At 41.6% G+C, this 27321-nt stretch overlaps 1 protein-coding gene and 1 long non-coding RNA gene across 2 annotated transcripts, besides 4 other annotated features; one reads left to right on the forward strand and one right to left on the reverse strand.

Annotated features, from left to right (window-relative positions):
• The first annotated feature begins 3983 nt into the window (after nt 1-3983).
• ZNF441 (zinc finger protein 441) lies at nt 3984-21062 on the forward strand. Its single transcript, NM_152355.3, has 4 exons — nt 3984-4180; nt 14595-14721; nt 15314-15377; nt 17003-21062. The coding sequence occupies exons 1-4, from the start codon at nt 4178-4180 to the stop codon at nt 18888-18890; spliced, it is 2082 nt and encodes a 693-aa protein (NP_689568.2). The 5' UTR covers nt 3984-4177; the 3' UTR covers nt 18891-21062.
• Nucleotides 4145-4244: an enhancer, noted in NCBI's record as "active region_14033". NCBI's record gives its function as "activates an Ori minimal core promoter by ATAC-STARR-seq in GM12878 lymphoblastoid cells {active_cell/tissue: GM12878}" and the evidence as "EXISTENCE:reporter gene assay evidence [ECO:0000049][PMID:35858748]".
• Nucleotides 4315-4454: a silencer, noted in NCBI's record as "silent region_10129". NCBI's record gives its function as "represses an Ori minimal core promoter by ATAC-STARR-seq in GM12878 lymphoblastoid cells {active_cell/tissue: GM12878}" and the evidence as "EXISTENCE:reporter gene assay evidence [ECO:0000049][PMID:35858748]".
• Nucleotides 4905-5014: a silencer, noted in NCBI's record as "silent region_10130". NCBI's record gives its function as "represses an Ori minimal core promoter by ATAC-STARR-seq in GM12878 lymphoblastoid cells {active_cell/tissue: GM12878}" and the evidence as "EXISTENCE:reporter gene assay evidence [ECO:0000049][PMID:35858748]".
• On the reverse strand, nt 14159-14621 carry LOC124904639 (uncharacterized). Its single transcript, XR_007067141.1, has 2 exons — nt 14478-14621; nt 14159-14309 (listed from the first exon to the last, which is right to left on the reverse strand). It is a non-coding gene; the product is annotated as an uncharacterized LOC124904639 (long non-coding RNA).
• Nucleotides 18295-18495: a silencer, noted in NCBI's record as "peak3359 fragment used in MPRA reporter construct". NCBI's record gives its function as "represses an SCP1 promoter by STARR-seq MPRAs in K562 erythroleukemia cells {active_cell/tissue: K562}" and the evidence as "EXISTENCE:reporter gene assay evidence [ECO:0000049][PMID:32103011]".
• Nucleotides 21063-27321: the final 6259 nt, after the last annotated feature.

The following is a 27321-nucleotide window of genomic DNA, read 5'->3' on the forward strand; positions in this document are numbered from 1 at the left end:
ATACTGAGGAATTAAGCCCCATGCAGTCAAACGACAGAAAAACACATTTTCACAAAAGACCCAAGACCATCGTTTTCAGATGTGGCAGATCTTGAGGCTTGGTTAAACAGAAAGAGAAGGGTGAAGCAGAGCTTTAAGCAGCTGGGCTAAGGATTCGAGGAATTCTCCAGCTCAGATCCATCCACAGAGACTGACAGAGGTCAATTTTTTGCTTGTTTCATTTTCTCTTTTTCTTTCAGTTTCTGGCATTGTCAGAACACTGGGTGAATATAAGCTAAAGGGACAGAGACCTCAGTGACTACACTGGACAGGGAATACAGTCTCTATAAATACACTTCTGAAATAAACAAGATTACCAAACAAATAAGCAATTACAGCCTTCAGCGAACATAAATCGCATAAAAAAGAAGGGGGAGAATTTGATTTACAGAGTTACTCTTATTATAATATTCAAATGTCTAGTTTTAACCTTTATTTTAGGTTCCAGGGTACATATGCAGTTTTTTTATATAGACAAACTTGTGTCATGGGAGTTTGGTGTATAGATTATTTCATCACCCAGGTACTAAGCATGATACTTGATAGTTATTTTTTCTTATCCTTTTCTTCCTCCCACCCTTAAGTATGCCTCAGCGTCTGTTGTTCCCTTCTTTGTGTTCACATGTTCCCATTATGTAACTCCCACTTATTAAGTGAGAATATGTGATATTTGGTTTTCTGTTCCTGTGTTAGTTTGTTAAGGATAATAGCCTCCATCTCCATCCATGTTTCTGCAAAGGCATGATCTTGTTCTTTTTTATGGCTGCATAGTATTTCTTGGTGTATATGTGCCAAATGTGCTTTATTCAGTCTACTGTTAACAGGCATTTAGGTTGATTTCATATATTTGCTATTGTGAGTAGTGCTGCAATGAACATAGGTGTGCATGTGTCTTTATGGTAGAATGATCCATATTCCTTTGGGTATGTGGATCCAATACCCCAGTAAATGGGTATTGGATTGCTGGGTCAAACGGTAATTCAGTTTTTAGTGCTTTGAGGAATCACCACGCTGCTTTCCATAATGGTTGAACTAACTTAAACTCCCACCAGCAGAGTATAAGCATTCCCTTTTCTCCACAACCTTCCCAGCATCTGTTATTTTTTGACTTTTTATTAATGGCCATTCTAACTGGTGTGAAATGGTATCTCATTGTGGTTTTGATGTGCATTTCTCTAATGATTAGTGATATTGGGCATTTTTTTTTTCATTTGCTTGTTGATTACATGCATGTCTTCTTTTGAAAAGTGTCTTTAATCCATCTTGAGTTGATTTTTGTATATGGTTTAAGAAAGGGGTTCAGTTTCAATCTTTTGCATATGGCTAGCCAGTTATCCCAGCACCATTGATGAGTCCTTCCCCACTGCTTGTTTTTGTCAGCTTTGTGAAAGATCAGATGGTTGAAGGTGAGCAGCATTATTTCTAGGCTCTCTATTCTGTTCCATTGGTAATGTGTCAGTTTTTGTAAAAATACCTTACTGTAGCCCTGTAGTATATAGTTTGAAGTCTGGTAGCATGATGCCTCCAGCTTTGTTCTTTTTGCTTAGGATTGCCTTGACTATTTGGGACTTTTTAAGTTATTTTTTTCCAAGAACTAAGTCTTGCATTTGCTAATCTTTTGTATGTTTTTTTTTTTTTTTGTATCTCAATTTCCTTCAGTTTAGCTCTGATTTTGGTCATTTTAGCTCTGATTTTGGTCATTTCTTGTCTTCTGCTAGCTTTGGGATTGGTTTGCTCTTGCTTCTCTAGTTCTTCTAGTTGTGATATTGGGTTATTAATTTCAGATCTTTCTTTTTGATTTGGGCAGTTAGTGCTATAAATTTCCATCTTAACACTTCTTTAGCTGTGCCCCAGAGATTCTGGTATGTTGTATCTTTCTTCTCAGTTTCCAAGAATTTCTTGATTTTGGTGTTAATTTCATTATTTACTCAGAAGTCATTCTGAACCAGGTCATTTAATTTTGATATAATTGTATGGTTTGGGGAGATTTTCTTAGTCTTGATTTCTATTTTTATTGCACTGTGGTCTGAGAGTGCAGTTGGTATGATTTTGTTTGCTTGTTTTTTTAATTTGCTGAGGGTTATTTTATGTCTGATTATGTTACTGATTTTAGAGTATGTGCCATGTGGTGAGGAGAAGAATGTATAATCTGTTGGTTTTGGGTGGAAAGTTCTGTAGATGTCATATCCATTTGGTCAGGTGTTGGTGGAAGGCTAAGGAGGAGCAAAGGCAAATGTTACATGGCGGCAGGCAAGAGAGCATGTACAGGGAAACTGCCCTTTATAAAGCCATCAGATTTCATGAGACTTATTCACTATCACGAGAACAGCATGGGAAAACCGCCTCCATGATTCAATTACCTCCCACTGGATCACTCCCATGACATGTGGGGATTATGGGAGCTGCAATTCAAAATGAGATTTGGGTGAGTAAGTCTCATGAGATCCGATGGCTTTATAAAGGGCAGTTCCCCTGCACACGCTCTCTTGCCTGCCGCCATGTAACATTTGCTTTTGCTCCTCCTTTGCCTTCCACCATGATTGTGAGGCCTCCCCAGCCATGCTGAACTGTGAGTCAATTAAACCTCTTTTTCTTCGTATCACCATGGGTGCCAGCTCCCAGTTAATAACGCTTTTTTTTTGTTTGTTTTTAAATAGAGATGGGGGTTTCACCACATTGCCCAGGCCGGTCTTGAGCTCCTGAGCTCAAGCAATCCACCCACCTCAGCCTCCCAAAGTGGTGGGATTGCAGGCATGAGCCACGGTGCCTGGCCTCATAATGCTTTTATATCTGGTATTCTTCATAAAAATATGAAGATGAATGTTTTCAAATTCAAAGTCTAATGTCTCAGCCTTTGATTGAAGCATTTAATTCAATAACATTTATAGGCTTGATGGAAGGAGCATTTCCACGCTGTGTTTAGGAGACAGGAGGGCAAATTGAACTCCCAGAGTTAAATCCATTAGTGCCCCTGACTCATCCCCAGGTTCTGATCCACCCTAGGGCTCCATTTCAGGAATTATCGTCTGGCCTCCAAGCTTTGGAATATGTTTGGCCTCCTGAAAGTGGTTGACTTGTGAACTGTGTGTGGATGCAGCAGGCTGCTTATCTGAGCTAGTTCAAGTTTTTGCTTTATAAAATATTGCCGCCATATAATTCCAGTTTTTCCACACATTTAACAATTTTATTTATTTCTTTTTTCTTTTTTCTTTTTTTTTTTTTTTGAGACGGAGTCTCCCTCTGTCTCGCCCACTCTCTCACTGCAGCCTCTGCCTTCCAGGTTCAAGTGATTCCTCTGTCTCAGCCTCCTGAGTAGCTGGGACTACAGGCGTGCGCCACCACATCCGGCTAATCTTTGTATTTTAGAGACGGGATTTCACCATGTTGGCCAGACTGGTCTCGAATTTCTGACCTCAGGTGATCCACCTGCCTCAGCCTCCCAAAGTGCTGGGATTACAGGTGTGAGCCACCACGCCCGGCTTTGTTGGGGTGTTTTTATATTCTGCACTGAAAATTAGTAGATTGAGACATAAGGTGGGAGAAAGGCTTGGCCTGTGCAGCCAACAGCCTCATCCAAAACTCCTGATTCCTGGAGGACATCAGCCCCTCCCTTCTGCTGCAGTGTGGCCTGGGCTCCCTTCCTGCTCTCAAATCAGGGGATAGCTCCACTGGACAGTGAGTCTGGAATTTCCTGCACAGACTTGTGGGTCCCTGTCCAAGAGGAAAAAGGAGGAAGGTCAGGACATACTGCCTAAATGCAAATGTCCCCTGGGAGGGGGTCAGGTCACAGCGCAGGGAGGAAGCTAGTCCTCTCAAGGCCTGTCTGGAATCTGTTTATCAGGTTCCACTCCGCTGCCCGAGATCGCTTCTTCCGTTACTCAGTGCCCGGGGGAGGGACCTGGCGCACTATCCAATCAGGGCCGCGGGGCGGGGTCGTGAGAACTGTCAATCAGGCGCACTGACCGGAGGAGGGTGCAAGGTTCAAAGAGCCCGCCGAGTCTTCTCCACGCCCCTGCACTGGGCTCCGGGTTCTGTCACTGAGAGACGCCCTGGAACGTCTGTGGCAGCTTCTGTCTCGCTGGGACCCGCACTGACAGCGGGAGGCAGAGGGAGGAACCTGGACGCCGGAAGCCGGGAAATGGTGAGTGTGTGAGGTCTGGTGTCCCGACGCGTGAGAGGAGAGACTGGTTGGAACCGGCCGGAACCGGCTGTGGTGGCACCAGGTCTTCCCCGCCGGCGACACCCTGGCGCAGCTCGGCCCTCGGTTCCCTCGGCCGCACGATGGGGCTGGGGCGGCAGCCGGGACCCCGGGCGTCCTGTCCCGTCCCTGCGCGGCCACTGCGGCCCTGGCCCTGGAGGCCTGTCTGGGCAGCTCCGCGCCCGCAGTCCTGCGTCTCCCCAGATTGTGCGGCTGTAACCGGCACAGGTTCGCGGCCCGAGTCACTGCACCGAGACGCCGAGGGCTGCAGCAGAAACAGTTTAATAGGGGGAGAGGGGAGGACACCCCAGATCCGCCTTCCTGAGAGGTTTGGGGATGGGGTGTTTAGGGGTGTGGACAGGGGCGGCTGGGGCGTGGGGTCGCTGGATGGTGGGGAAGTGAGGGGTGACTCTTGGGACTGGAGGTGAAGAAACCGCATTCTTCTGCTGAGTGGGTTCCCTTGTGGGGTCTTCAGCCTGGTTGGCGCCAGCCTTTCCGCTGGAATTCAGGATCTGAGAAAGAACTCAGGCGACTCTTGAGCAACTCTCAGAGATCTCATCCCCAAGCACAATGGCGAAGCCGGCGGTCAGCATCTGCTGTGGCCTGACTCTTGGGGAGGCGGCCCCGCGAGGCAGCGGGGCTGAGGGCACCTGGTTAATATCTAACTGCAATCTCGCCTCCAGCCTGGCTCGCAGTTCTGTGAACCCGGTGAGGAGGCTGCACGGTGATGACAGGTCACCAGGCAGACTCGTGTGTGGGGTTTGTGTGTGGGAGGAGTTGTGGTCTGTGTGGTCCCCTGTCCCTTCTTTCTTCCCAAGGGTGACCCGTTCGCCTTCGAGTCTTCCAAAGATGTGGGCAGCAGGGTCTCAAGTCCACCACTGTGTTCTCTCATCCTAACTCCTCCTAGGGCCGACAGAAAATCCCTTGGCTTCCAGAGCCTTCCTCAGGCTTTCTCTCCTCAATTCACAGCAACTTTATGAACTCCTTGTCCCCCAGTTTATTTTTCAAACAGAGGCTAGTATTTTAATTGTCATTTTGTTTATACATAGCAATATATGGCTCTTTGTAAAAGGTTTTGTGTTTGTGAACATTTCACATGAGAGGAAGCAGAGAAAAACCACCAGACATTTCGCTGTAAAAAAAATGAATATTAATAAATAAAATCTTTGTTACTGTCCTCCCTTCATCATCCCTAGACAGAGACACCTTTTGAGAATGTCTTTGGATTAAGTTTCCTCTTTGGAAACGTTACAGAGTGATGAGTCCCCAGCCCATCCTCTATGGTTTCCTGGTCCTGGGTTTCAGAGCTGCCTGGGGCCACCCCAAGATGCCCACAGCTGCCAAGTCTCTTGTAGTGTCAAGTGAATATCAGTCCCTTTGTCACTCCTCCCAGAGGACACCCTGAGGTGGAGATGGTGGGACCTTGTAGGGAAGCAGCATGATGCCCTGTAGTGGGAGGAGTCTCCTGGTATACCCTTCCTCAATAAGCTACTTCCTTAGAACACTCAGCTTTTCTTCCCCCATCCCTTCCTTGGGGATATATGGCTGGTCAGCCAATTGGATGGTGGTATTAAGGGGACAGGACTGAAATGATTCTTCCCTTCTGATGTTCTCAGACTAATGAAGGGAGAAAACTATCCCTAAGGACAGGAAAACCAACTCCACTGAGGTGGTGCAAGAACCTGAAAAGCTAACAATGTAGTGTCTCCTGGGATCATGGTTATTGAGCACTTCGGTGAGCAGCATGGTGATGGGGGATGTTCCAGGTGATAGGAGGACCTGACTTGACACACTCTGCACCCATAGGGAGGTGGTGAAAGGAGATGATGGTATAAGGGATGCATATGGATCAACCAAATTGAAGAACTGGGAGAAGATAGAGAACTAGAAACTGTGTCAAGGGTCATAAAACCCCTTTTTTGGTATGGAAAAACGAAACCACACTCAAAATGGAAGCTGAGGTAACAAACTGAGTAAAAATTAATGAAAACTGGAAAGTCTATAGTTAGTTGATCATTGTATATGGAGATGCTGGGCAGAAGATGGATTATTCTCCTGTAGGTAACCATTTGTCTCCATCATTTCTGTTGAAGTGTCCCTCATTTGTATCACTGCCTGGCAATACCTGCTGTGTCATAGGTTCTTGTACCTTAAGTAGATGCTCTTGTTCCAGAATTTGCCATTTTTCATTGGTTTATGTATCCATCAGTCTGCTAATATCATACTCTCCTGATTACTATAGTCTTCAAAGCCTTGATGTGTGGTAGAGAAAGACCCTTCCTAACTTAGTCCTTTGGGTTGCTATAACAAATTTACCATAGACTGCATGCCTTACACAACAGATATTCATTTCTCAAAGCTATAAAGGCTGAGAATTCAGTTTCAAGCAGCAGGTCAGTTGTCTACTAAAGGACTCTTTTTTTTTTTATTTTTTATTTTTGAGATGGAGTCTTGCTCTGTTGCCCAGGCTGGAGAACAGTGGCATGATCTCAGCTCACTGCAACCTCCGCCTCCTGGGTTCAAGTGATTCTCCTGCCTCAGCTTCCCAAGTAGCTGGGACTACAGGCACATGCCACCACCCCAGCTAATTTTTTGTATTTTTAGTAGAGACGGTGTTTCACCATGTTAGCCAAGATGGTCTCGATCTCCTGACCTCATGATCTGCCCACCTCGGCCTCCCAAAGTGCTGGGATTACAGGTGTGAGCCACCGTGCCCAGCCTGGGCCTCTTTCTTGATTTGCAGATGGCATTCTTCCTGTTATGCCCTCACATGGTGGAGATATGTCTGTAATGTCTGTCTAGTTTTGGTGTTAAGGCAGTTGTATTAGTCCATTTTCACACTGCTATAAAGAACTACCAGAAAAGAGGTTTAATTGACTCACAGTTCCTCATGGCTGGGGAGGCCTCAGGAAACTTACAATTGTGGCGGAAGGGGAAGCAGGCACTTCTTACATGGTGGCAGGCAAGACAGCATGTGAAAGAGGAACTGTCAAACACTTATAAAACCGTCAGATTTCATGAGAACCCACTATCACAAGAACAGCGTGGGGGAAACCGCCCCCATGATCCAGTCACCTCCCACAGGTCCTTCCCTTGATACATGGGGATTATGGGGATTACAGTTGAAGATTAGATTTGGGTGGTGACAAAGAGCCAAACCATATTATCAGTGTTGGCCTTACAACATGAATTAGAAAGTGTTCCCTCTGCTTGTATTTTCTGAAAGAGATTATAGAGAATTGGTGTCATTTCTTCCATAAGTGTTTTCCAGAATTCAACAGTGAAACCATGCTGGCCTGTTCCTTTTTCTTGGGACTTTTTGTTTGTTTGTTTGCTTGAAGTGGAGTTTTGCTTTGTTGTCCAGGCTAAAGTGCAGTATCATGATCTCACTGCAACTTCTGCTCCCTGGGATCAAGTGATCCTCCCACCTCAGCCTCCTGAGTGGCTGGAACTCCCACTACAGCCTCCTGAGTGGCTGGATGTGCCACCCCATCCTGCTAATTTTTTGTGTTTTCTGTAGAGATGGGGTTTCACCATGTTGCCGAGGCTGGTCTTGAACTCCTGGGCTCAAGCAGTCTGCTGATCTTGGCCTCCCAAAGTGCTGGGATTACATGTGTGAGCCACCACGCCTAGCCTACCACTGCACTATAGCCTGGGTGACAGAACAAAACTCTGTTTCAAAAAAAAAAAAAAAAATTGAATGCAATCTCTAGAAAGCAAAGATATATAACCAATGCTTAAAAACCTTCCACTTTAGGAAACTAAAGAAAGAATAGCAGGATACATGTAAATCGAGCAGAGGAAAATAACAATGAGAGAAGGTATTAATGAAATAGTAAGCAAGAAATCAGTAGAAAACATTAACAAACCAAAAGCTGGTTCCTTCAAAAGATCAATAAAATGAATAAGCCCATAGGCAAGCTAACTCAGAAGAAAGGGGGGTTATGATTACTCATCTTGTGTACATTAAAGGACCTCAAAGGAGTATTAGGAACAACTGCATGCCCACATAGTTGATAAATTACATGGAATGGACCAATTCCTTGAATGACACAAGCTACCAAAACTCACAAAAGGAGAACTAATTAATATGAAAAGGCTTATAACTATTGAAGAAATTCAATCAATAAATAATAAAAGTCCCAGGCTGTGGGCAGCAAGCCACCCAGGCGCCGAGGCAAGAGACCGAGGACACGAGCTGTTCCAGTATAATAAAATATAAAACAAGAATAGTTATACCAGATATAGATCTTAGATATGATTATATATGAATATCATTAATCATTAGTTGGCAGTAATTACTCTTTATTCCAATATTATAATAATCCTCACTCTATAATCATAACCTACGAAAAACCAGGCCATACAGAGATAGGAGCTGAGGGGACATAGTGAGGTGTGACCAGAAGACAAGTGTGAGCCTTCTGTTATGCCTGGACAGGGCCACCAGGGGGCTCCTTGGTCTAGCAGTGACGCCAGCGTCTGGGAAGACGCCCGTTGCCAGGCGGTCCGTGGTCTAGCGGTAGCAAAAAGTGTCAAGGAACACCCACTACTTAGCAGACCGGGAAAGGGAGTCTCCTTTTCCCCGGGGGAGTTTAGAGAAGACTGCTCCTCCACCTCTTGTGGAGGGCCTGACATCAGTCAGGTTTGTCCGCAGTTACCTGGAGGCGTAACCATCTCCCTGTCATGCTGTGCTTCAGTGGTCACACTCCTAGTCTGCCTTCATGTTCCATCCTGTACACCTGGCTCTGCCTTCTAGATAGCGGTAGTAAATTAGTGAAAGTACTAAAAGTCTCTGATATGCAGAAATAATGGCGTAAGCTGTCTTTCTCTCTGTCTCCTCTCCCTCTCTGCCTTGGCTGCCAGGCAGGGAAGGGCCCCCGTCCAGTGGACATGTGACCCACGTGACCTTACCTATCATTGGAGATGACTCACACTCTACCCTGCCCCTTTTGCTTTTGTATCCAATAAATAACAGTGCAACCAGACATTTGGGGCCACTACTGGTCTCCGCACATTGGTGGTAGTGGTCCCCGGGCCCAGCTGTCATTTCTTTTATCTCTTTGTCTTGTGTCTTTATTTCTACGCTCTCTCGTCACCGCACATGGGGAGAAACTCACCGACCCTGTGGGGCTGGTCCCTACACCAGGCCAGGCTGGGTGCACTGGTAGGCTAGGCATGGTGGCTCACATGTGTAATCCCAGCACTTTTAGCTGCTAGCATTCAGGAAATCTATCAGAATACTGGATGAACACAAGCTAAGGGAACAGAGACTTCAGTGACTACACTGGACAGAGAATACAGTCTCTGCAAACATACTCTGAAAATGTTACTAAACAAATGAATAATTAAAACCTTCCACAATCCCAGCACTTTGGGAGACCAAGATTGGCAGACTGCTTGAACCCAGGAGTTCAAGACCAGCCTGGGCAACATGGTGAAACCCCATCTCTACAGAAAACACAAAAAATTAGCAGGATGGGGTGGCACATCCAGCCACTCAGGAGGCTGTAGTGGGAGTTCCAGCCACTCAGGAAGCTGAGGTGGGAGGATCACTTGATCCCAGGAAGTAGAAGTTGCAGTGAGATAATAACACTGCACTTCAGCCTGGACAACAAAGCAAAACTCCTCCTGGGTTCACACCATTCTCCTGCCTAGCTCCCGAGTAGCTGGAACTACAGGCGCCTGCCACCACGCCCGACTAATTTTTTGTATTTTTAGTAGAGACAGGGTTTCACCTTGTTAACGAGGATAGTCTCAATCTCCTGACCTCGTGATTCGCCCGCCTCGGCCTCCCAAAGTGCTGGGATTACAGGTGTGAGCCACTGCGCCCGGCCTGCTTTCAATTCTTTACATTTCCTTCTAAGCACATTCTAAAAATTTTGCTATGATATACTCTTTTTTTATCAACATTGCAATATTTACATTTGCTTGAGAATTCTCTTTGACGCTTTTATAGTTGAGAGGCTTGTCACTTAAATCTCCAGGTTTTTAGGCTTTTCAAGTATGTTTCTGTTATTTATTGCTACTTTAATTATAATATAGTTTGATCGCATATTTTATAGAATTTCTATTTTTAAAAATGTGTTCAAGTGTGTTTTATGATTCAGAATATGGTCTATCTTGGTATATACTTCATGAGGGCTTGAAAATAATGTGTAGCCTGCTGGTGTAAAATGAAAGAATCTGTAAATACACATCAATTAAATCTAGTTGATTAATAGTATTCTTGAGTTCACATGTATCATTAGTGATTTTCTGCCAAACTGATCTGTCAATTATTGAAAGAGGTGAGTTGTTTTTCTCCAACTATAGTTGTAGATTTGTGTATTTTGTCATGTGGTTTTATAAGTTTTTGCCTTATGTATTTTCATGATCTGTGTTTATGGGCATAAATGTTAAGGATTATTATGTCTTGTAGGATTGATCTCTTTATCATTATGAAATATCTCCATCGTGTGTAATTTTTTTGACCTAAAATCTTATTTGTCTGAATTTAGTATCAGTGTTCCATATTTCTTTTGATTAGGGCTAGAATTGCATATATTTATCCAAACCTTTCTATTTAAAATGGTTTTCTTGTGCACATCGATGGGCCTTCTTTTTCATTATACTCTGCCAGTCCCTGCCTTTTTTACTGTTGAATATAGGTAATACACATTCTATGTCATAACTGATGTAATTGGATTAATATCACATATATGTTATTGTTTTCCATTTATTGTACATTATCTGTTTTTTTCCACTTTCTCCTTTCTGCCTTCTTTCATTTTGACTGAGCATGTATATGATTCCATTTGCTTGCTTCTATGAGTATAGTAAATCTCTTTGTTTCTTAAATGTTATTAGTGAATTCACTAGAGTTGGTAGAATACTATTCACAACTAATGAGCCTACAGTTTCAAATAACACTATACCGGCTTCAGGGGTAGTGCTGATATAACAAAGTATTCTGAATTCCTCTATTGTATTGCCCAATACATTGCTGATATTATTATGTTGAACAAACCTGTATCTATTATATTAGATCAGATAGGTATAAGAAAACTAAAGAATTTCAAATGTCTTCATTTAATTCTAAGAGTCTTCGTGTGTGGGTGTGTGATCCAAATTTCTAATCTATTTAATTTTTCTTCTCTCCGATGAACTTCTTTTAACATTACTAGCAAGACAGTTGTATCAATCATACATTCTATCAATTTCATTCCTTTTTTTTCTCCTTAGTCTAAATAACTTCAATTGTTCTATCTTCATTTTAGCTGATTTTTTACTTTGGTTGCTCACATCTGTTGAACATCTATAGAGAAATTTTCATTTTAGATGTTGTGCTTTGCAGTTGCATAAATTAAATATGGTCCAATTTCTAATTTTGTATTGATATGATTTTATTCATACATCCCTTTTCTGGTTTTCTTTTAGTTCTTTGTTCATAATTGCCTTTACCTCATTGAACATATTTAAGACAGTTGCTTTAAAGTTTTTATTCAATAAGTCTAATGTCTGAGGTTCTCAGAGATGGTTTATCTAAATTAAATTTTTTTTCCATTGATGAGCTATATTTTTATTCTTCTTTATAGTCTTTATGGATTTTTTGTGTTGTAAAGCAGACATTTGAATGTTATAATCTGGAAATCAGATTCCCTTCACTGTTTGCCCTTCTGGTTTGTGGAAGGTTTTAATTATTCATTTGTTTAGTAACATTTTCAGAGCATGTCTGCAGAGACTGTGTTCTCTGTCCAGTGTAGTCACTGAAGTCTCTGTTCCCTTAGCTTGTGTTCATCCAGTATTCTGATAGATTTCCTGAATGCTAGCAGCTAAAAGTAAAAAAGACATGCCAAACAAAAAGCTGACCTCTTCCAGTCTTTGTGGATGGGTCTGTGATGTAGTATTTGGTGAACACTTAGCCAGACTGCTTAAAACTCTGCTTTAGCCTTACCTTTCTGTTTTACCAAACTGAGAGATGATGCAGAGCTGAAAATGAGGGCCTCCCCAGGTCTTTTGTGAAAATGTGTTTTTTCCAGTGCATGCATTTCCAGTACATGCATTCTCAATTCCCCAAAACACTGGAGTGCTTTTGAATGCCCCCTTTTTTTTGAGATGGAGTCTCGCGCTGTCGCCCAGGCTGGGGTGCAGTGGGGCAATCTCAGCTCACTGCAAGCTCCGCCTCCTGAGTTAATGCCATTCTCCTGCCTCAGCCTCCCGAGTACCTGGGACTACAGGTGCCCACCACCACGCCCGGCTAATTTTTTGTATTTTTAGTAGAGACGGGGTTTCACCGTGTTAGCTAGGATGGTCTCGATCTCCTGACCTCGTGATCCGCCCACCTCGGCCTCCCAAAGTGCTGGGATTACAGGCATGAGCCACCGCGCCCAGCCTTTTTTTTTTTTTTTTTGTGACGGAATCTTGCTTTATCGCCCAGGCTGGAGTGCAGTGGCTCAATCTCGGCTCACTGCAACCTCCGATTCGCAGGTTCAAGCGATTCTTGTCCCTAAGCCTCTCGAGTAGCTGGAACTACAGGTGCCCGCCACCACACCTGACTAATTTTTGTATTCTTAGTAGAGACGGGGTTTCGACATGTTGACCAGGCTGGTCTCAAACTCCAGACCTCAGGTGATCCACCTGCCTCAGCCTCCCAAAGTGCTGGGATTACAAACGTGAGCCACCACGCTCAGCCTGAATGCCCTAATTTCTGAGGGAAATTGTTCTCTCCTTTTTTATTCCCAGGACTTAGATGTTCTACCATATGTCTTAATCATAATTTGTTGTCCCAGTTGTTTGAAGGTTTTTTATGTATTTTGCAACAATTTGAAGCAGTTCCTGCCAAGCTTGACCTAATTAGGCTCCATCATTGATTAAATAAAAAAGAGAACTTTCTTTCAGACCTTTGGATAGTCCACAGATGGATTGAAAAATACAAAGGTGCAATAACTTACAAATAAGATCTGATCTGCTCTCTCTAGGGATCCACATTGGAAATTTGGTCTGCTGTTTTCAAGACTGGTGCTGATGTGAGGAGGGATTGGGACAAGGACAAATAAAAACTCCACAAAACTTTCCTACTATTTGTCACCTTCCTTATTCTATTTGTTTATCTCTGTGTTAATAGTACAGGGTACTGAATATAATATATTCACCATACTTTATCTGTTTTTGGAAAGCTGTTGCTTTCTTGGTTAGAAGGATTTTAGCATTTTTAGATGTTTGTGACTTCTATTAGATTTGGTCATGTAATTTTTAATGATGACAAAAAGGTCTGTTTAGGGATTTAGGGAAATATTATAGATATTCATGAGAGATGACATTGAGTTTTTTTCTAAGAACATATGCAATCTTGGCCCTTCTTTTCTTCTTTGACATTACTTAATAAAGTTTAATTTTTCCATTGGGATGGTAAAATATCCTTATTAGTCTTTTGTCATACTTAACTACATATGTTCTACAGTAAACCAGTTGCTAGCTTCCAAATGTTCTCTCTTAGTGTAGTCACATAGCACAGGCTAAATCCCCCAAGGCACAAGGGTCACTCATTACAGACACAGTGACCAGAGTGTTTTTTCCCTTTTTTTTTTTTTGAGGCGGAGTTTCTCTCTTGTTGCCCAGGCTGGAGTGCAATGGCGCAATCTCGGCTCACCGCAACCTTCGCCTCCCGGGTTCAAGCAATTCTCCTGCCGCAGCCTCCTGAGTAGCTGGGATTACAAGCATGAACCACCATACCGGGCTAATTTTTTGTATTTTTAGTAGAGACAGTGTTTCTCCCTGTTGGTCAGGCTGGTCTCGAACTCCTGACCTCAGGTGATCTGCCTGCCGCGGCCTTCCAAAGTGCTGGGATTACAGGTGTGTGCCACTGTGCCTGGCCTCAGAGTGTTTTTTTCATGGCTTAGTCTGTTTTTTGTTGCTTATAACAGAATACTTTAACCTGGGTAATTTATAAGAAATGATATTTATTTTTTACACTTCTGGAGGGTGGGAAGCCCAGCATCAAGGCTGGGCATCTGGTGAGAGCCTTCTTGCTGGTAACTCTCTTTTGCACAATAGGTAGTAGGACTTTGTCATGACAAGAACTGCAGACCCACTGTAGAAATAGAAATGAGGAGTGATTCAGGCAATAAGACTCACTTTCTTAACTTACCAACAAGAGGCGTGTTCCTATTCAACTGTTACTTTACAAAACATGTTCATTTCTAGGATCAGAATTGTGTGGGATAAAATGAGTGTAAAGAGAGAATAAGAGTGGGTTTACCATGTTCTTGAATAAATGCTTGGAAACCACAGCATCATGTGAAGGTTATGAAGTGAATTTACATTCCCAGTGCCTTCAGTTTTAATATTCCTCCTCTGCACATGTGAAATATTTCAGGACTCAGTGGCATTTGAGGATGTGGCTATAAACTTCACCTGTGAGGAGTGGGCTTTGCTGGGTCCATCACAGAAGAGTCTCTACAGAGATGTGATGCAGGAAACCATCAGAAACCTGGACTGTATAGGTAAGGATGTCATCATGTCTTCACTTAGTCAATTAGAGACATTTGTTTCTTGGTCATCAATGCTGTTCAATTATTTGAAATATGGAAGGGTATATAATTGGCCCTTGAACCAGCCACCCAAGCAGTCATACATCTTCTCCCGCACAACTTAACCACTAGTAGCCTACTGTTTACTGGCAGCATTACTGGTAACATAAACAGTTGATTAATACATGTATTATATGTCATATGTATTACATGCTATATATTCTCACAGGAAAGTAAGCTAGAAAAGGAAAATATTCATTAGGAAACCATAGGTAAGTGGAACATTATTTAGTATTCATAGAAAATACAACATTACAAAGTTTTCATTCTGATTGTCTTTACATTGAGTAGACTGAATAAGAGGAGGGGTTGGTCTTGCTGTCTCAAGAGTAGCAGAGACTGAAGAAATTCATATGTAAGTAGACCTGTGCAGTTCAAACCTGTGTTGAAGACTCAGCTGTAGTTTGGTGTGTGAATCATGCATGATTGTAGTGTACATAAAATCTTACAGTCTTTCTATAATTTTATAATAATTTATAGTCATTTTTCTGGTTCTAACTTTTAGGAATGATATGGCAAAATCATGATATAGAAGAAGATCAGTACAAAGATCTCAGAAGAAATCTAAGGTAATTTGCACTCACAAGAGAAAGCTGTGTCCTTGAAGTGATTCATAGTATGCCAGAAATTTTATTTTATTTTGTTTGTTTTAGAGACAGTGTCTCACTTTGTTGCTCAGGCTGGAGTACAGTGGTATGATCATAGCTCGCTGTAGCCTCGGACTCCTGTGCTCAATGGTCCTCCCATTTCAACCTCCTGAGTAGCTAGGGTTACAGGCATGCACCACCACATGTGGCTACATATTTAGTTTTTGTAGAGATAGAGTCTTGCTGTGTTTGACCAGACTCATCTCCAGCTCCTGTCCTTAAGCGTTCCTCCTGCCTTGGCCTCTCAAAAGGCAGGTATTGCAGGCATGAGCCACTGTGACCAGCCCAAAATTTTAAAAAGAAGCAAGGAAAATTAACAAGCCCACCTTAAATTTATTTATTCTTAGAAAATTTTCTTCAAAAACATATACTTAAATGTGACATGGCTATGGCTATTCAGTGCCTGCAAAATAGTTCCCTTGGAAACAGTATTAAGAATTCCCATATGAATGTCACTATCTTCAAAACAGCTGGGGTTGAGTTACCTTGTACATCATTCTGTCCATTCATGTTCAAAGAGGGCATGAGACCTACACTTTGCATGATAATGTTAGAAATGTAAATCCAGGCCAGGTGCGATAGCTCACACCTGTAATCCCAACTATTTGGGAAGCTGAGGCAGGAAGACTGCTTGAGCCCAGGTGTTCAATCAGCCTGGGCAACGTGGCAAGACGCCCTTTCTACAAAAAATACAAAAATTAGCTAGGCATGGTGGCCTGTGCTTGTGGTTTCAGTTACTTGGGAGGCTGAGACAGGAAGGTTGCTTGAGCCCAGGAGGTCAAAGCCGCAGTAAGCCCTGTTCACATTACTATACTCCAGCCTGGGCAACAGAGCAAAACCCAGTTTCAAAAAAAAAAAAAAAAAAAGAAAAAGAAAAAGAAAGGCTGGGTATGGTGGCTCACCCTTGTAATCCCAGCACTACAAGAGGTCAAGGTGGGCAGATTGCTTGAGCTCAGGAGTTCAAGACTAGCCTGGGCAACATGGTGAAACCTCGTCTCTATAAAAAATACAAAAATCTAATCTCAGCATTTTGGGAGGCTGAGGTGGGCAGATCACGAGGTCAGGAGATCGAGACCATCCTGGCTAACATGGTGAAACCCCGTCTCTACTAAAAATACAAAAAATTAGCCAGGTGTGGTGGCAGGCGCCTGTGGTCCCAGCTACTTGGGAGGCTGAGGCAGGAGAATGGTGTGAACCCGGGGGAGGTAGAGCTTGCAGTGAGCCGAGATTGCGCCACTGCACTCCAGCCTGGGCAACAGAGCGAGACTCCGTCTCAAAAAAAAAAAAAAATCAGCCATGTGTGGTGGCTTATGCCTGTAGACCCAGCTATTTGAGAGGCTGGGGTGGGAGGATGGTTTGAGTCCGGGAGGTGGAGGTTGCAGTGAGCTGAGATCACACCACTACACTCCAGCCTGGGCAACAGAGCGAGAACCTGTCTCAGAAAAAAAAAAGAAAAGAAAGAAAGAAAAGAAATGTAAATCCAATACTTATTAATACAAAATCATTTATAAACAAACCTTTACTAATGTACTTCTTATTTTTTACAGATGTCATATGGTAGAGAGAGCCTGTGAAATTAAAGATAATAGTCAATGTGGAGGACCCTTTACCCAGACTCAAGACAGTATTGTGAACGAGAAAATACCTGGAGTAGATCCATGGGAAAGCAGTGAGTGTACAGACGTCCTCATGGGTCGTTCATCTCTTAATTGCTACGTTAGAGTTGACAGTGAACACAAACCATGTGAGTATCAAGAATATGGAGAGAAGCCATATACACATACACAATGTGGGACAGCTTTCAGTTATCAGCCCTGCTTTCAAATACATGAAAGACCTCAGCATGGAAAGAAACTCTATGATTGTAAGGAATGTGCAAGCTTCAGTTCTCTTGAAAACCTTCAAAGACACATGGCAGCACACCATGGAGATGGACCTCGTATATGTAAGTTGTGTGGAAACGCCTTTATTTGGCCTAGTTTATTTCATATGCTTAGAAGAACTCACACTGAAGAGAAACCATATGAATATGAGCAGTGTTCTACAGCGTTTCCTGCTTATAGTTCCACTCTAAGACATGAAAGAACACACAGTGGAGAGAAACCCTATCAATGTAAACAATGTGGGAAAGCCTTCAGTTGTTCCTGTTACACTCAACTATATGAAAGGACTCACACTGGAGAACAATCCTATGAATGTAAGCAATGTGGGAAAGCATTTTATCATCTTGGAAGCTTTCAAAGACACATGATAGTGCACACTGGAGATGGGCCTCATAAATGTAAGATATGTGGAAAAGGCTTTCTTTCTCCCAGTTCAGTTCGAAGACATAAAAGAACTCACACTGGAGAGAAACCGTATGAATGTAAGTATTGTGGGAAAGCATTCTCTGATTGCACAGGTTTTCGAAGACACATGATAACGCACACTGGAGATGGACCTCATAAATGCAAGGTATGTGGGAAAGCCTTTGATTCTCCCAGTTTATGTCGAAGGCATGAAACAACTCATACTGGGGAGAAACCCTATAAATGTGAATGTGGGAAAGCCTTTAGTGATTTCTATTACTTTCGAAATCATGAAACTACTCACACTGGAGAGAAGCCATATAAATGTAAACAATGTGGAAAAGCCTTCATTTGTTGCACTTACCTTCAAATACATGAAAGAATTCACACTGGGGAGAGACCCTATAAATGTAAACAATGCGGAAAAGCCTTCAGGTCTTCCAATTACATTCGAGTACATGAAAAGACTCACACTGGAGAAAAGCCCTATGAATGTAAGCAGTGTGGAAAAGCACTTTCTCATCTGAAAAGCTTTCAGAGACACATGATAATGCACACTGGAGATGGACCTCATAAATGTAAGATATGTGGGAAAAGCTTTGATTCTCCCAGTTCATTTCGAAGACATGAAAGAATTCACACTGGGGAGAGACCCTATAAGTGTAAACTATGTGGGAAAGGCTTCAGGTCTTCCAGTTACATTCAACTACATGAAAGGACTCACACTGGAGAGAAACCCTATGGTTGTCAGCAATGTGGGAAAGCATTATCTGATCTCTCAAGCTTTCGAAGACACATGATAACACATACTGGAAATGGACCTCATAAATGTAAGATATGTGGGAAAGGCTTTGATTATCCCAGTTCAGTGCAAAGACATGAAAGAACTCACACTGGAGAGAAACCCTATGAATGCAAGGAATGTGGTAAAGCCTTCAGTCATTCAAGTTACTTACGAATACACGAAAGAGTTCATACTGGAGAGAAGCCGTATAAATGTAAGGAATGTGGGAAACCATTCCATTGTCCCAGTGCCTTTCATAAACATGAAAGGACCCACAGTATGGAGAAACCCTATAAGTGTAAAGAATGTGGGGAAGCATTTCATTGTATCAGTTCCTTTCATAAACATGAAATGACTCACTAGAGAAAACCCCTATGAGTGTTGAACATGTGAGAAAGCCTTAAGTACTTTCAGCTTCTTACAAATACATAAGAGACTCACACTGAAAAAAGTTGTATGAATATAAAAATGTACTAAAACCTTCCATTTTTTTCAGTACCTTTTGAAAACATGACCAAACTCATACTTCAAAAATATATATATAATGAATGTGAGGAATATGAAAAAACTTTCTTTGTCTAGCAAACTTTCAAAGGTGGTTATTATAACATACTAGCAATGGACCTTACTACTGTAAGGAATGTAGAAATGCATTTACTAGTCCTAATTCATTTCAGTTACATGAAAGATTTCAAACTGCAGAGAACCACTATGAATGTAAACAATGTGGTAAAGCATTTAGTAGCTTCAGTTTCTTTTGAATACAGTCTTCTCTAGTTTCTGAGGTGAATTGATTCCAGCACCCTCAGGAATACCTATATTCAGAGATATTCAAGTCCCTGATATTAAAAACAGCATATTTGCATATAATCTAGGCACATTTTTCTGTATATCTTAAATCATTTCTAGATTACTTATAATACACAATGCATTGTAAATTCTGTATAAGTTGCTTTTGTATTATTTAGGGAATCATGACAAGAAAAAAGTCTACATGTTCAGTACAAATACAACTGTCATTCATTGTCCTAAGTACGTGTACATGTCAGCAACAATGTCAGGATCTGTGGAGTTTGCGAGTATAAGATCTTTAAGTGTTGAAGGTTTCATCTCCATAATTGCAGCTGCTTTAGCTACAAATATTATAGGAAGCTGTTCCTTCTTTTTCTTTACATCACCAAACCTTCCAGTGGTTATAGGCATTTTGTTATCCTTCAAGTGACCTGGAGCCTTTGTTGCATGACAGGATTGTACCTGAAGATCACATTCTTTAACAATTGGACCTACTGAATCTGTAAAACTACTAGAAGAAAACATATTGAAAATACTTCAGGACATTGGTTTAGGCAAAGATTTTATGGCTAATACCTCAAAGCACAGACAACAAAGATAAAAATAGACAAATGAGACTATCTTACACTAAAAAGTAGCTGTGCAAAGTAAAGGGAACAACAAGAGTGCAGAGAAAACCTGTTGAATATGAGAGAATATTTGCAAACTATGCGACAAGGGACTAATATCCAAATATACAAGGAACTCAAACATCTCAACAGCAAAAAATATAAATAATCCCATTAAAGTGGGAAAAGGATGTGAACAGACAGTTCTCAAAAGAAGACATGCAAATGGCCAAAAAGTATATGGAAATATGTTCAACATCACTAATGATTAGGAAAATGCAAATTGAAACCACAATGAGATACTCTACTTAGAATTGTTCTTACTAAAAAAGATAAAAAACAACAAATGCTGATGAGGATGTGGAGAAAAGAAAACTTTCACTGTTGGTGAAAGTATAAATTAGAACAACTACTGTGGAAAACAGTATGTAGATTTCTCAAAAACCTAAAAATAGAACCACCACATGATCCAGCAAACCAAGTATAACCACAGGAAAAGAAATCAGTATATCAAAGAGATACTTGCACTTGCATATTTATCACAGCACTATTCATGATAACAAAGATATGGAATTAACCTAAGCATCCATCAGTGGACACAGGGATAAAGAAAATGTTTATGTACACAGTGGAATACTATTTGGCCATAAAAAAGAGTAAAATGTTATTGCTAACAACATGGATGGAACTTGAGGTCATTATGGTAAGTGAAATAAGCCAGGCACAGAAAGACAAATACCACATGTTCTCACTTATATGTGGGAGGTGAAAAACTTCACCTCATGGAGATAGGGAATAGAATAAGTTATCCGGGGCTGAGAAGGGGAAATGAAGAGAAATTGGTGAATATGTACAAATTTCCATTTAGATCAAAGGAATAAGTTCTGATGTTAGAAAGCATACTAGAGTGAACTATAGTTAGCAAAAATATATTGCATATTTCAAAGTAGTTGGAAGAGAGGACTTGAAATGTTACCAACACATAGAAGTGGTAAATACTCAAGATCATGGATACCCCAAATACGCTGACTTGACCATTACACATTCTATGCATGCAAGAAATGCTCATGTGTACCTTATATATATGTAAAATATGTATCAATAAAAGAAAATATATAAGATAGTTTTAAAATAACACTATTGTCAGGTGTCTGTGGGCTGAGGAACAGCCTAAGGTGTAAACTTAAGTTCTTCTCAGGTCTTTTCTTAGTTGCACCTGTCCCTGGGCATGTGTGGTAACTGTCTAATTTTCTCTGCATGTATGGTTATTTTTGCACAACCTAATCTTCAGTGGCTCTCAAAAGGAGAGGAATAAAAGCATTAAGGGAAAAATAAAAGGCACCAGCCTGGAAGTCACTTCAGATGGAGGGGAAGGGCCTTCAAAAAATGGAGAGAGATGCAGCAGCAACAGTCACCACCACTTCTTTGTCTGTAACTCTGTGATCAGAAGCAACAATTATCAAGCAGTGCGCAGATCCCCAATATTTGGAAGACAGGTCCTTTTTGTCCACCCTGGCCCCCCAAAACTGCATGCAGACTGCTGTTAGAACTTATGCATAGCTACCTGTCATGGAGCTGAGGAGGGGGAATGAGTCAGGGCTGCTGACTCAACTAAGAGTTGAAATTGACCGAAATTAACCCAATTTTATTAGCCAATTATTTCCCTGGAAGCTGCAAGCTTTTAATAGTATCCGCAGTTTCAAAATAGCTACATGAGTTGGATTCTGCCAATGCAAATCCAGGTGGGGGATACAGATTCTTCATGCTTTTTATTCTGCCATCTTCCTTGAATCCTCTGACCTGACTTTTTATACTAATACATTACTTCAGGTCCCATCCCACATGTCACCTCCTCAGCAAGTCTTTCTGTCACCTCAGTTACTCCTTTCCATATATACATTTTTTTTAATACACTTTTCAGAGTCAGGGAAATCCGATTAGGTTCACAGACTTTACTGCTTTCTTAACAACCTATGAAAAGTCAAATCATATAAATGAACCAAACTGAATAGTGTCACTGTTACTTTTATGAAGTGTTATCCCGTAGATTTAAAAAAAAAGAAAGAAAGCCGGGCGCGGTGGCTCACGCCTGTAATCCCAGCACTTTGGGAGGACGAGGAGGGTGGATCACCTGAGGTCAGAAGTTCAAGACCAGCCTGGTCAACATGGTGAAATCCCGTCTCTACTAAATATACAAAAATTAGCCGGGCGTGGTGGCAGGCGCCTGTAATCCCAGCTACTCGGGAGGCTGAGGCAGGAGAATCGCTTGAACCCGGGAGGCAGCGGTTGCAGTGAGCCGAGATCGCACCATTGCGCTCCAGCCTGGGCAACAAGAGCGAAACTTCGTCTCAAAAGAAAAAAAAAACTGCTTTGCACCGATTTGCAGAAAAAGAGACAACGAACTCCCTCTCGTGGTGAGGATGGCATTAACATCCACACATAACTCCTTTAGGGTGTGGATTTCTGAATTGTGCTGAGATCTCCAGAATTTACAGCAAGTGATGGTCAGTTTAAAATATTCTGTGCCTTCAATGAAGAAGTAGTGTAGCAGGTTAGGGAGAAGAGAAGCAAATAAAATGGATGAGGTCCTCACTTAGTATATCACAATCTCTCCTGGAAGACTATTTATTTATTTATTTTTTTGAGACGGAGTCTCGCTTTGTCACCCAGGCTGGAGTGCAGTGGCGTGATCTCGGGTCACTGCAAGCTCCGCCTCCCGGGTTCACACCATTCTCCTGCCTCAGCCTCCCGAGTAGCTGGGACTACAGGCGCCCGCCACCACGCCCAGCTAATTTTTTGTATTTTTAGTAGAGACGGGGTTTCACCGTGTTAGCCAGGATGGTCTCGATCTCCTGACCTCGTGATCCACCCGCCTCGGCCTCCCAAAGTGCTTGGATTACAGGCATGAGCCACCGCGCCCGGCTCTGGAAGACAATTTCAAATGAATAAATCAAGGAACATGAGAGAGCCACAAGGGAGTTCAACCTGAGTCCAGTTAGACTCCTTGAAAGGGAAAGCTATTTACAGAATACTTCGGATTTAGCTGCGGAAATGATTTGATGGGTCAGTGGTGGTGGAGTGAGGTTGAGACCATTTAAAATAGGTGACGTAAACATGTGAAACCTCAGACACAGAGCCCTTGGTGTTAACCATGATCTGTTGAAAGTCAGAAGAATGAAGCAGAGGGAATTGTTGGAAGCTCACATTTGATTAGCTTTTTTACATATAACATGTGTTGACAAGGCCGGGAGCGGTGGCTCACGCCTGTAATCCCAGCACTTTGGGAGGACGAGGAGGGTGGATCACCTGAGGTCAGGAGATCGAGACCATCCTGGCTAACACGGCGAGACCTCGTCTCTACTAAAAATACAAAAAATTAGCTGGGCGTGTTGGCGGGCGCCTGTAGTCCCAGCTACTCGGGAGGCTGAGGCAGGAGAATGGTATGAACCCAGGAGGTGGAGCCTGCAGTGAGCCGAGATGGCGCCACTGCACTCCAGCCTGGACAACAGTGCGAGACTCCATCTCGACAACAACAACAACAAAAAACAATGTGTTGACGTAGAAATTATTTATTGATGTATTTTTCTCAAACTAATAATTATTTTGAAGGGTTTTTTTTCCACCATGTAAACATAACCAACTCCCAGGAGCTTCCATGTGTATATGCTTAAATGTATAATATGTGTAAAAGTTCTATCAGACTTAAATCATCCATTTATCACACTTTAAACACCTATGAATGACCAGCCTGGGCAACATACCAAGACCTAATTTCTACCAAAAAAATTTTCTTTCTAATGATCCAGGCATAGTGACATGTACCTGTAGTCCTAGCTACTCCAGAGGATGAGGTGGGAGGATTGCTTGAGCCTAGGAGGTTGAGGCTGCAATGATCCGTGATGGCATCACTGCACTCCAGCCTGGGTGACACAGTGAGACCCTGTCTCAAATAGAAGAAAATGTCAAATAAGATGAATGTGATTGCTTAAACTCTTCCACACAGAAGAATTTATCAAGATGGTCTTCAGAGGTATATCATGAGGAAGCAGTACAGTGCAATGAGGAAAAAACAACAAAAAACAAGTGAAGGGGGCAGAAGACCTCAATTCTACTCTTTACTCTCTCTAGATGTGAAACAACCTTGGGCAAGTCACTGCGCCTCTTTGAGCCTGTTATTTCATCTGTAAGAAGCTGAGATAATTAATATATCATAGATAATGTAGTGTTCTCAGTAGAAACTGAAACAGCACTCTGAGATCAAACTCATTAATATTCCTACAACAAAATGAGTAAATACTTGAAACAGAACAAAACAGCCAATAAATAGCCTCTTATTTCTTGATGTCAGGTTCATGCCTACCTTACAAAATAGAGTTGTCAGAGCTTTTTGGTTCGTAGAACTGAAGAAAAGGGACTGTAGACTCATGGAAGTGTCTAATGTCAGAAAGCCAGATATGTCAAAGATGAATTTCTGAAATTAAAACATTTTATTTGGGAAGAAATACTTGTAATTCAGGGCATACACACAGACCAAGTGGTCTTTGGTATGTCTTAAAAACAGAGAACATTGGAGGTTTCATGAAAAGGAGAAGTGTTACATATGGTTCTTCAAGAAAGTTCATTGGCACTAGTAAGGTTTTTGGGAGTTGGAAAGTTCTGATCGGGAAATGATGGCAATGAGTAAAACTATTCTTAGAGCCACAGCAAGTTGTTTCAGTAACTATTAGATAAAACCGGTTTCAGGATACAACTGGCTGTTTCAGCAGCTTGGCAGAGAATGACATGCTTGGAGCATTGGTACGTGCCCTGAGTGCTTTTCCCCCTTGGCCTGTTGACTCTTATAGTTGAGTTTGGCAAGAATGACCCAATTTATGTGATCAACATTCAGTTTGCTAATTCACAACAAAACAATTTTCTGCCACTCCATGACTAATGTTTTTAAATAGCCCTCAGCCTTTGGCTTGAACTTACCAAAGGACTTTTCAAACTAAACCATGTCCACTCTTTTTTTTTTTTTTTTTTTTTTGAGACAGTCTCGCTCTGTCGCCCAGGCTGGAGTGCAGTTGTGCAATCATGATTCACTGAAGCCTTGACCTCCTAGGCTCAGGTGATCCTCCTGCCTCAGCCTCCTGAGTAGCTGAGACCACAGGTGCATGCCACCATGCCCAACTAATTTCTATAGAGACAAAGTTTTGCAGTGTTGCCCAGGCTGGTCTCAGACTGCTGGGCTCAAGCAATCCACCTACCTCAGCCTCTCAAAGTGCTAGGATTACAGGCATGAGCCAAACATTTAAAGAACTAATACCAATCCTACTCAAATTATTCTGAAAAATAGAGGAGGAGGCCAGGTGCGCTGGCTCACACCTGTAATCCCAGCCCTTTGGGAGGCCGAGGCAGGCAGATCACGAGGACACGAGTTCGAGACCAGCCTGACCAACATGGTGAAACCCCGTCTCTACTAAAAATACAAAAATTAGCCAGGTGCGGTGGCACGTGCCTGTAATCCCAGCTACTCAGGAGGCTGAGGCAGGAGAATCGCTTGAACCTGAGAGGCAGTGGTTGCAGTGAGCTGAGATCACACCACTGCACTCCAGCCTGGGAGAAAGAGCAATACTCCACCTCAAGAAAAAAAAAATAGAGGAGGAAGGAATACTTTCAAACTCATTCTGAGTCCAGTATTACCCAGATACCAAAACCAGGCAAAGACACATTAAGAAAACTATAGGTCAATATCCCTGATGAATATTCATGCAAACATCCTCAACAAAATACTAGCAACCGAATTCAACAACACATCAAAAAGATAATTTATCATGACCAAGTGGGATTTATCCCAGGGATGCAAGGATAGTATGTGATACATCATATTGACAGAATGAAGGACAAAAACTATATGATCATTTTAATAATGCTGAAAATGCATTTGATGAAATTTGACATCCCTTTATGATAAAAAAAACCTTCAAAAAAACCGAGTATAAAAAGAATATACCTCAACATAATAAAAAGTCATATATGACAGACCCACAACTAGTATACTGAATGGAGAAAAACAGCCTTTCCTCTAAAATCTGGAACAGGACAAAGATGCCCACTGTCACCACTGTTATTCAACTTGGTACTTGAAGTCCTAGTTAGAGCAATCAGATAAGAGAAAGAAATAAAGGGCATCCAAACTGGAAAGGAAGAAGTCAAATTATCCTTCTTTGCAGATCACATGATCTTATATTTGGGGAAAACCTAAAGACTTCACAAAAAAACTACTAGAACCAATAAATTCAGTAAAGTTGCAGGATACGAAATCAACATATAAAAATCAGTAGCATTTCTTTCAGAACAAGGATCACTGGGAGAAAAAAAATAAAAATTAAAAAGCCAAAAATGAATAGCATTTCTATATGCTAACAGTAAACAATCTGAAAAAGAAATCAAGAAAGTCCTCTTTACAATAGCTACAAATAAAATACCTAGGAATTAATTTAACCTAAGAAATAAGTGAAAGATCTCTACAATGAAAACCATAAACCATTGATGCAAGAAATTGAAAAGGACAAAAAATGGAAAGATATTCCATGTTCATGGATTGGAAGAATAAATATTGTTAAAATGTGCCTACTACCCAAAGCAACCTACAGATTAAATACAATTCCTATCAAAATACCAAGGACATTCTTCACAGAAATAGAAAAAATAATCCTGAAATTTATATGGAACCACAAAAGACCTGGAATAGCCAAAGCTATCCTGATCAAAAAGAACAAAACTGGAGAATCACATTACTTGACCTCAGATTATACTACAGAGCTATAGTAACCAGAACAGCATGGTCCTGGCATAAAAACAGATACATAGACCACTGGAACAGAATAGAGAACCTAGAAATAAATCTATACATTTACAGTGAACTCATTTTTGACAAAAGTGCCAAGAATGTACATTGGGGAAAGGACAGTCTCTTTAGTAAATGGTGCTGGGAAAACTGAATGTTCATATGCAGGAAAAAGAACCTAGACCCCTATCTCTCATCATATACAAAAATCAAATCAAAATGATTAAAGGTTTAAACCCAAGACCTCAAGCATGAAACTACTGAAATAAAACATTGAGGAACGTCTCCAGGACATTGGAGTAGGCAAAGATTTCTTAGGTAATACCCCACAAGCATAGGCAATGAAAGCAAAAATGAACAAATGGGATCACATCAAGTTAAAAAAGAAACAACATAGTAAAGGAAACTGTCAACAAAGAGACAACCCATAGAATAGGAGAAAACACTTGCAAACTATCTATCTGACAATAGATTAATATCCAGGATATATAAGGAGTTCAAATAACTCTATAGAAAAAAATGTAATAATCTGATTTTAAAATGGGCAAAAGATCTGCATAGACAT

The sequence above is a fragment of the Homo sapiens genome, chromosome 19 (genome assembly GCF_000001405.40).
Source record: "Homo sapiens chromosome 19, GRCh38.p14 Primary Assembly".
Lineage (NCBI taxonomy): Eukaryota > Metazoa > Chordata > Mammalia > Primates > Hominidae > Homo > Homo sapiens.